Here is a 9,680-nt window from a genome sequence, read left to right as displayed (position 1 = left end):
GGTGCCAGTGGGCAGGTGTGGCAGCCTGCCTGTTGATTACAGTCCCTACAATGTGCGAGCTCCTTGGGACTGCAGGCTGCGCGCCGCCAGCTTTGCCTGGTTCGTCCTGATTACACTAGGTTTTCGGGCAGAAACAGCGACACTGAGCTCGGGCTGGGGGTGGGGCCCTCGGGCCCAGTGCCCGCCCCCTGCCCTCCCACCGCCAGCCGAGAGAAGCCCGCCCGGGAGCGCGCTTTCTAATGCACCAGCCCCCGGGAACAATCTGTCCCTCCCAAACCCGCCACGGCGGGGGTTCACCTCCCGGGTACCCGCCGCGCCCACCCTATGGCCTAAATGTCTTTTCATATATTTTAAAAACTGAACTGTGTGCAGTGGGGATGCAGGGCGGGAAAGGCTGGAGGGCTCATTTTCGCCACCAGGCTTGCCTCTCCGGGCGCACGAATTAGGCCCGAGCTAGAGTCCAACCCCCTTCCCGCCTCAGGGGGCTCGGGGTGGCGCGGGGTTAGGGGCAATGAACGACGATGGAGGCGCCCCAGGCTCAGCGGCGGGCGGGGAGGCAGAGGCGGGTTCCAGGAGCCGGGCTGAGGCCCGGCAGGTGCCCCCAGGCGCGGAGGCTGATTGGCAGGTGCGTGAGTGGGTGGGGAAGGCGGGGGCTGGGCTTGGCGCTGCGGGAGGCTGCGGCCCCGCCTCCCCGCCCCCGCCGCGGGACTATCTGGTCCCGGCAGCAGCGATGTCCCCCGGCAGGAATGTCCCTCCTCAGATAATGTTATTTATATCTCTGGGCGGGTCCGCGGCTCGGCAGCACCAGGCGCCCGGCGGCCGCTGTGCCAGGAGCCCCGCGCTGCCCTCCTCCCCCTGCGCCGCCGCCGCCGCCACCCCCGGGCTCGGGGTGGCCCCCGCTTCAGTCCCAGGGCAGGTGAGTCCCAGGAGGGCCCGGCGGCCAAGGGAGCTGGGTGCGGGTGCGCAAGGCTGGGACGCGCGGCGCCAGCTCAAAGGAGCGCTGGGCCCAGGGGGCGCCTGACGCGCAGGGCCCAGAGGACCGGGTGGGAGTCCAGCCCCGGTTGTCGGGCGTGGGGTGGGAGGGGTGCGGGGCCCGGGAAGCCCGGCAGCTGCGGCAAAGATCATCCCGGGACGCGGGAACGCGCGCGGGCGTCCGAGGCACTTGGTGCTAGCTTTGGAGAGCGGGATCCCGGAGAGTCCGTCACCCCGGGGCGCAGGGAGAGGGTGACGGGGGTGCGTGTTCTCGTCCGCCTTCTCCAGGACCCCGGCCTGGGAGCGAAGGGGATTGCGCCTCTAGCCCGTCCGACCGCAGCGCTGCTCTCTGCCTTTTTTTGTCCGGCTTCTCAGCCTTGTGGCCGCTCATATCCCTCTTCTGGGGAACTTGGCTGCGCTCTCCTCGGGCCACCCAGCGCCCAGGCAGGAGGGACAGGTGAGGGCAGCAGAGGGGGCCGGGCCTCCGGGTGCTGGGAGCCACCCAGAGAGTGACCCCGTGTAGACCGAGGGAGGAAAGATCCTAGTGCCCCAAGCCATACTTCAAGGACCCCTAGTCTTCCTCTCCCAAAGAGTTCCTCTCTTCCTCTAAGCTTCTCCGGGCTACTCTACCCTCACCCTCCTCTCCAGTTTCCCCTCTTCCTCTAACTTGGTCTTGAGAAATAGCAGAAAGTGGGAGAAATAACAGAAGCTGTAAAACAATCCCCAACTCCCACCAACTCATCCGTACTTCCCAGGCTGGGGAAGCAGCTGCGGGGCTGGAGTGCTGTTTCCCTGACAACGAGCTTCAGGTAGGGCCTTGAGTTACAGCCTATTAATATCCAAACCACTGTTTTCAGTGAGCAATTAGAGGCGCCAGCCAGGAGTAAGGAAAATGAAAAGAAGCCACTGTTTTTTGTACATCTAAATTTTAGATGCATCAGATTGGGGGGTGGGGTGGGGGGATATAGTGACAGCCTTTTTGTACTGAGAATTTCTGTGGGGAGAGACTAGGCTGTCACCTCCAGGTAGGAGGCAGTCATGCAAAACCCCTGCCTGGAGGTAGTCACGATCCGTATTTTAGTTTCTAAGGGAAGAGATTCAGGCGGCTCCCTAATGAGAGGAGTCTGCAAATCAAAGATTTTTAGGCACAGCTCAACTGTCCACTGTCCTATCCTTAGCTTCACAGATGGCTCTGAATTTTATTCTAGAATTCCCTCTTCGCCCACCCCTTCCCCCACTATAACCCAAGGCAGGTCATTTCTTATTTTAGGATTCAGCTTTTATTCTTTTGCTCTGAGTCCCAGGTTCCAAAATGCAATTGAAAACACCTTTTTTTTTCTAAGTGCAAAATGATTGTTAATGTATGCTGAATGTCCAGCACCTGACACAGCTAGGCCTGTGCTTGCCTGGAGGCTTGCAGGCTAGCCAGGAAAGGGAATGTTAAACTTACATTGAAGAAGAGCCCACCAGCCTTGAAACCCACTAACTCCAGAGGTGGGTCATTTATAAAGAATTTTATCAAAAACTCTAGAGTAAAGCACCATTGAAAGACATAAACGCTCATGAAAATGTGGCTTTCAGACCCCTTAGCTGTTGCTCTTAGCTTTATCAGTGCCCCAGTGGCAATGATGGGGATGAGCCAGTCCTATTGATCTTGAGTTCTGGGAAGACTCAGAGTCCACTCATGGAATTGTAAGCACCCAAGGACTCCCAGGCATCCAGGATGGGCCTTGTAGCACAGGCGTATCAAGTTCTCCTGAGCGGCTTGCCCAGAAGAGAGTTGGGATACCACCTTTGGCTCTGATCAATGCTTCTTCCAAGTGTTCTGAAGGTGTCCTATAGCAGAACGCCTGCTAGATGACTAGTTTTGGGGGTGAAGGTATGACAGGAGCAAGACTCCTACCTGGGATCACATTTGGCAAAATAAAAATGAGTATTTTAGGCAAGCTAGGTGTGAATGACAGTTTTGAACTAAAGTCAAAATTTGACAGGTCTGCTGCAGCTCTGGAAACAAACTGTTTTTGGTAAATAATAATAGCTTTTATTCTGTCTTTTATGTTGTTGTACCCAGTACCTGGATGGTAGTGGAACCTCAGTTAACCTTTGTTGAATGAATGAGGAAACCAACAAATGAATGCTCAGCGTTTTCTCTATATTATCCAATTTAATTGTCATGGTAACTCTATAAGGTAGCTCATATCAACATTTTACAAGTAAGGAAACAGGTTCAGGAAGATTAAATAACTTGCCTCATATTACCCAGCTAATGAGAGATGGGTCCAGGATTCAAACTCAGTTTGTTTGGTTCTACCTTCTTTTTAAGGTTAGACACTCAGCAGGGAATATAAAGTACAAGTTGGGAAGATTTGACTGTTTGTCTTCTAGCTTCATAATCTTCATTCCCAGGACCTCAGGTAATAGTTCTGCTTATATCAGAGGAGCTTAAAAAATATTATCTGAAGATAATATTGGGCATTTATTTGCTCAGAGGTTCTTAGCCTTACCCATTATTTTCAGGTCATTGTTTCAAGGACAGAACTATAATTTTGGCAGGAGTCAAAGCATGGATTTTTTTTTTTTTTTTTAAAGAACAGATTTTCCTTTCAGTCCTGGAAGTGGCCAGGAGGGCTTGATGATACATAGGGACAGTGTGATAGGACAGAGGATGGCTATAAAAAATTCATGAGGCAAACACTATTGGAGAGGGAAGGGATTCTGGAGGTCACTGAACCCAGCCTTCCATGTGCATACTTACTGGCTTAAAGGCAAGACCTAACTGAATGTACCTGATCATTGATGTGTAGCTATGGCACCCACACTTCTTATTACTCGAGTTCATTTCTTTCCTGTCTCACTCTCAAGGCCAATATGGTTTACTTCCTGAAGTTCTGCCTAACCAAACTACTGAGATTTTATTTCCTTTGGAGGAGATTATGAGAGGATGTGTTTTTAATATCTAGTCCTTTCATTTTAGTGCAATCTTAAAGAAAAGGTACTGAGGATAAGCAGGAGAGAAGGCAGTCTCAGGCTTTAAACTCTAAACTGTTCTATAATCTCCCCCATTGCTTGTAAGGTGTACACATGTATACATTTTAAAACAATAGTTATACACATTACGATCTAGAGACAAGAAATCTTAAGTAATTATGTCCATTTTTGGGGGGCATGGGGAAGGACTTTAGAGAACTGTTGAGACCGTCAGATACGTGTTTTAACCTAAACCCAATCACCAAATTGTTCTTGAAGAGCAGCACTTTAATTTCAAAATCAAACACAAAATTTTACTGTCTGCTCAAGACCTGAAAAGGTAGGAAACATGACCAGTGGGAGATTTAAAGTAGAGATGGGGTTTCACCATGCTGGTCAGGCTGGTCTCAGGAGTTCGAGACCAGCCTGGCCAAACCTATCTCTACTAAAAATACAAAAATTAGCCAGGTGTGGTGGTGGGCACCTGTAATCCCAGCTACTCGGGAGGCTGAGACAGGAAAATTGCTCGAACCTGGGCGGTAGAGGTTGCAGTGAACCGACATCGCGCCACTGCACTCCAGCCTGGACAATAAAGTGAGATTGTGTCTCAAACAAACAAACAAAAAATTGATATAAAAAAGCCAGGTATAGTGGCTTATGCCTATAATCCCAGTTACTTCGGAGGCTAAGGGAGGAGGATTGCTTGAGCCAGGGAGTTAGAGAGGCTGAACTATGATTGTGCCACTGTACTCCAGCCTGGACAACAGAATGAGGTGCCATCTCTAATTCATGAATTAATTAAAAAGTGATTTAAAATATGTTTCTTTGTTATGGAATTTTAAAATTATAGAATTTAAAAAAATAACCTGAGACCTACAGATTAACATTTATCAATGAACTTGGGAAGATCAAGAGTGAAAATAACTGTGCTATGTGGGCTGATGAGAAATTTGATTATATAATGAGGACTGGCAAGGAAGTTCATGGATACTGGGTTCTGAAACCATATGGATATCACAAGCCAAAAATGACTGTGGAAAGAAGAATTTTATCTTTGAAGCAGCTTGTATTGACTCAGTTGATTTTAACAGACAGATCGTAGGTTACTCCTCTGTTTTAGATAAGAAATCTGAGGAAGAAGAGTAGATGCAGTGGTCTGTGTGCCAGAATCATCATGTGGCATTTGCTGGGTTTATCACAGAGATGCTTCCTTCTTCACCCCATTAGGGGAAGGTCACCTGTTTTGGAGATGGAGATAGTGATTGAGGAAGAGCGTAGGAGGCAGTCAGGAGAATTAACTGTCAGATCTGGCTCTGCTCACGGATTGCCAACTCCCCTTGGTAAATATTTAGAAAATGCCATAGTGTGTTTCCCTCTGTTGCTGCGTGTATTTCTTAATTCACAGCCAAGTGATCCACATTCTTCCATTTTCAGCCAGCCTCAGCTGAATATCAAACCATCAGGGGATCCCTAGCCTTTATAGCTCACGTAGTCTTAGAGGTGGTCATAGACAGAAAATGCTTCCTTAATGAATTGTCTGGCTAGCTTATCAAATTCCCAGACCACCTTTCATTTTTCTCTTTCCTTTTCCTGGTTGCAGGAAATATTACAAAGCCCTCTTCTTCCTACCTCAGCAAGCCCTTCTCAGGCTTTGCCATAATGTTTTATTTCCACATCATACCTGTGCAGACCTGGCTGAGGGTAGAATTACAAGGGCAATTAAAACTCAGCATATATCATGTGAGCAGTGGGGGCAAAAGTGGGCTTCCTTTCTTTCATTTGAATGTTATAAATTTAGCAAGTGAAAAGGCACAGGGCTGAAAAAAAAATAGGCTTTGCATTGAACCAGGCTCAGATCATCCAGGATATTTATGAAGAGACTAACGGCACCTTGATAGCTAAAGAACAATAATTGCTTCGAATTATAGTCAATTTAGGAGTTTCCACCATTGTGAAAAGGAGAAGAAACTTGAATAATTCCGAAAATGAATACTTTGAAAATATTTTCCATTTGTACCAGACTTAAATATGGGCGTGTCTCACTTGAGAATGTATAGCAATTCAAATAAAACAAAGCATACTTTAAAGGCATAAATTATGTGGACCAGAAAGAAGTCTGTAACCTTATTCTGTCCCTCTTTTGAGTCCCAGCCTGTTTCTAGAAGAACCCTAGGAGTGGTCAATTAGCTTCATCTTCCAGTATATTTCCAGAAGGGTGGAAAAGCAAGAAAAGGCCTTTCATAATACTGACTTCGAGTCATAAGTCATAGAGAGTTAGAGGTAGAAAGGCCCGAGAGAGAATTGAGGTGTATTCAAAAAGAGCAGACATTGGGTGTCTACCACGTGTCTTACACTGTTATGTGCTGAAGACACACAAAGAGATCAGATGGAGAATCACTGATCTGGTGCGAAAATGGCCTTGCAAACAAGCAGTGATTCAACAGGATGCCTGAGAGAGAGGGTGTACAGGAGGAAACATCTCATTCAGGTTGGGGAATGAGAAGACCTTTGAAAGTGCCTAGGATTTCTATAATGGAAGAAGGGAGGATGAGGGGGCCTGCGAGTGGGGCTTTAGGAAATTGCCCAGCACAGACAATAAAGCATGATTAGGTTAGGGGATGAAGTGTAGTTCCACATGGCAGAAGTGTGACCAGAAAGGTGGTTGGGGTTCAGCCTGTGAAGAAGTTTGAGCCACTGGAAGTTTTTAAGTCATAAAGGGGTGTGATGAAATCTTTGTTGACAAAGCTCACCAGTGGCAGTGAAGAGAAAGTGAATTAGATCCCAGCCAGTACAAGATGATGATCACAGATAACTATAGTCCACTCAATTTTCAGCATGCCTTTGTCTACACATCATCTTATTTTATCTTATGATGAGCATGTGAAGGGAAGATCTGATTATTCCTGGTTTCCAGTTACAAAACAGGATTAGAAATGTACATTTATATACTCAATGTCCCTCTAGTAGTTTATTCCAAAACCTGACTTTGACCCAGTTGCCTAGTTCTGAGGCTGGGGCTGTTTCCAGGTCTTCTCAGTGGAGTAATTGAATATTCTGGGCCTTCTGGTTGAGACCGCGGTTGCTTTTTTTCTTCAGCAGAATATTCCACATAAGTTCATTGGTTCTGGAGAGAAGACACTTGTTAATGGTATTACCCTTTACCATAGCCACAGAACCTCAAGAATGGCCCTCCAGAGTATGCACAGATGCTGTTCCAAAGCATGAATTAATGGATTCTCAGTAGCATGCCATAGATAAATGAAGGGTTCATCTGCCCGTTAATTGATGTTTTGGGTTTTTCATTCCTTTACCCCAAATTTACTGGGCATTATTGTGCTTATGCTTCATTTTGGACTTCAGCAGCCTCTTTTTGTCCAGTGATCTTGAGGGCCTTGATTTGTATGTCAGTCTTCAACAAATATTTACTGAGTTCTCATTTAATTTGCCAGACATGCTGTAGGCCCAGGGAATGTAACAGTGAATGTGGCAAAAATGTCTGAAGTCGTAGAGTGCACATTGTAGTTGGGGGAGAGAGGAACTAAATGACAAGCAACAGACAAAAATATATATTGTAATTTCAAGTGCTAAAAAGAAAAATAAAGCAATATGAAGGGAAAGAAGGGTGGTTCTACTATTTCAGGTAGGGTGGTTGGGAAAACACTATCTGATGGGGCTTCATTTGGGCTGAGACTCAAATGAAGTGGGGAGAGAGGCATGGGATGTTTGGGAGAAGAGATTCAGGTTGAGTGGTAGTCTGTTCTCACACTCCTAATAAAGACATACCAGAGACTGAGTAATTTATAAAGGAAAGAGGTTTAATTGAATCACAGTTCAGCATGGCTGGGGATGACTCACAATCATGGCAGAAGGCAAAGGAGGAGCAAAGGCATGTCATACATGGTGGCAGGCGCATGTTCAGGGGAACTGCCCTTTATAAAACCATCAAATCTCATGAGACTTCTTCACTATCACGAGAACAGCACAGGAAAACCCACCCCCGTGATTCAGTTACCTCCCACCGGGTCCCTCCCACGACATGCAGGGATTATGGGAGCCGCAATTCAAGATGAGATTTGGGTGGGGACACAGACAAACCATACCAAATGGGAAGCCCCCAACGTGGGGCCACTGCTGTGTCCAAGCAATAGCAAAGAGGCCAGTGTGGCCTGAGTGCAGGGTGTCATGGGGAGAGCTAACCACAGTGCTGGAGAGAAAAGCGGGTCTTGATGGTGCAGGCTTTGTGACCTTTGAGTTTTAGTCCAAGTGTCATAGGAAGCCACTGGAAGTTGTGGGCAGGGGAGTGACTTGTTGGGATTTGTGTCTCAAGCAGATCTTTCTGGCGGCCCTAAGGAGGATTGATTGTGGGGCACAAGAGTGGAGGCAAGGAGTCCCATGAAAGCTACTGCGGTGGTTCAGGACGAGAGGATGGATCAGGATGATAGTCCTGGTGAGATGCAGTTGGGTTCTGAGTATAGAGATTATGAGATTTGGATATAGAGGATGAGAGAAAAAGAATAAGATGATTCCATTGTTTTTGGCCTGAACAACTGGATGAACAAAAAGGTCGTTTACTGAGATGGTGATGTATTTTATCAAATGTACCATGGGCTATTTTTTTTTAATTTCTGTTTTTGTCGAGGTGTTGACTTGGAATAGTCTTGGCAGACTTTTCATTTAAATACACCAAAAAGGAGATGTTTTTATTTTGGGATGATTCATGACATCTGTTTGAAGCGAAGCTTTAGATGTGCTGTGTACTTTGTACTGTTACTTTTAGATCAGTCCCACAACGTTTATACTATGTGATGGAGATTAAGATATGGGAGAAACAAGATTGAAATATATTTCACTTTATTTTTAGAAATGTTTTGAATTGGCTGGTTAAAGCCCAAATATTTTTTGATGCTTCCTGGTTGTCATATTTAAAAAACTTTTTAAATTATAAAATAAACTCATGTACGTGGTTAAAACATATATCCATATTATACAAGGGTATACAATGAAGAGTAAAAGTCTTCTCCTAACTTCAGCCCTATTTCTAAGAAGGTACCACTGTCAACAGTTTCTGTGTATGCTTTGAGAAGAATTCCATTCATGTGCAAGCATTTGGCCTGATACATTTTAAAGTCATAGCTTTAAGCTAGCAGCACCACGTGTTAGGTTTCAGATTTAGTAGACTTTGTAGTCACCTTGGTAGCCCTCAAGTTAAGCGACCTGGAGTCCACTTTCTATCAACTAAGGATCTCCCTCTCCAAACCATCCCACACTGAACCACTGTGTTCATCATATAACACCCCTTCTCAAAAGCCACCAGTGGTTCTTCTCTGGGTAGAGGTAGAAATCCAAACTCATAAAGTTGGCTTTTAAGGAGCCATTCTATTCTGGCACCAGTCTCTTTTTTTCTACTCTTTTACCACTTTCCATCACAAACCCTCTACTTAAACTAAGTTTGTCCACTTCTGCTTACTGAGTCCTGACCATTTCTCCCAGATTTGGAGTGTTTTCCATCAGAACTTGGGTTCGAGGCTGTGTCTTCGTCCTGGAACACTCCACTCCACAGTAATCTCTCCCTTCTTCAAACTTGCTAAATTAGGGCTAGATACATGCACCCTATTTGAACATAATCACAAATTCTTTTATTAACTTTCTTTGTATATGTGTATTATTTGCTCAAATATATGTGACATAAATTTTACCATTTTAACCATTTTTAAGTGTACATACAGTTCAGTGGCATAAGC

General features: G+C 46.0%; 1 protein-coding gene across 6 annotated transcripts in view, besides 3 other annotated features; it reads left to right on the top strand.

Annotated features, from left to right (window-relative positions):
• Nucleotides 181–260: a silencer, noted in NCBI's record as "silent region_5844". NCBI's record gives its function as "represses an Ori minimal core promoter by ATAC-STARR-seq in GM12878 lymphoblastoid cells {active_cell/tissue: GM12878}" and the evidence as "EXISTENCE:reporter gene assay evidence [ECO:0000049][PMID:35858748]".
• Nucleotides 331–470: a silencer, noted in NCBI's record as "silent region_5843". NCBI's record gives its function as "represses an Ori minimal core promoter by ATAC-STARR-seq in GM12878 lymphoblastoid cells {active_cell/tissue: GM12878}" and the evidence as "EXISTENCE:reporter gene assay evidence [ECO:0000049][PMID:35858748]".
• Nucleotides 521–690: a silencer, noted in NCBI's record as "silent region_5842". NCBI's record gives its function as "represses an Ori minimal core promoter by ATAC-STARR-seq in GM12878 lymphoblastoid cells {active_cell/tissue: GM12878}" and the evidence as "EXISTENCE:reporter gene assay evidence [ECO:0000049][PMID:35858748]".
• The window catches only part of SPTB (spectrin beta, erythrocytic), a 133,625-nt gene continuing 124,745 nt past the window's right edge, over nt 801–9,680 (top strand). For 3 of the 6 annotated variants that reach the window (NM_001355436.2, NM_001355437.2, XM_011537105.4), the window contains exon 1: nt 801–916. The gene's annotated coding sequence lies outside the window, so the exon portion shown is untranslated. Of the gene's footprint in view, nt 917–1,260; nt 1,430–8,029; nt 8,387–9,680 lie in introns of those variants that run through there. The other 3 variants (XM_017021612.3, XM_047431724.1, XM_024449699.2) reach the window with 3 other exon arrangements.

Source organism: Homo sapiens, chromosome 14, assembly GCF_000001405.40.
Source record: "Homo sapiens chromosome 14, GRCh38.p14 Primary Assembly".
Classification (NCBI taxonomy): domain Eukaryota; kingdom Metazoa; phylum Chordata; class Mammalia; order Primates; family Hominidae; genus Homo; species Homo sapiens.
This window is presented reverse-complemented; position numbering and strand designations above follow the sequence as displayed.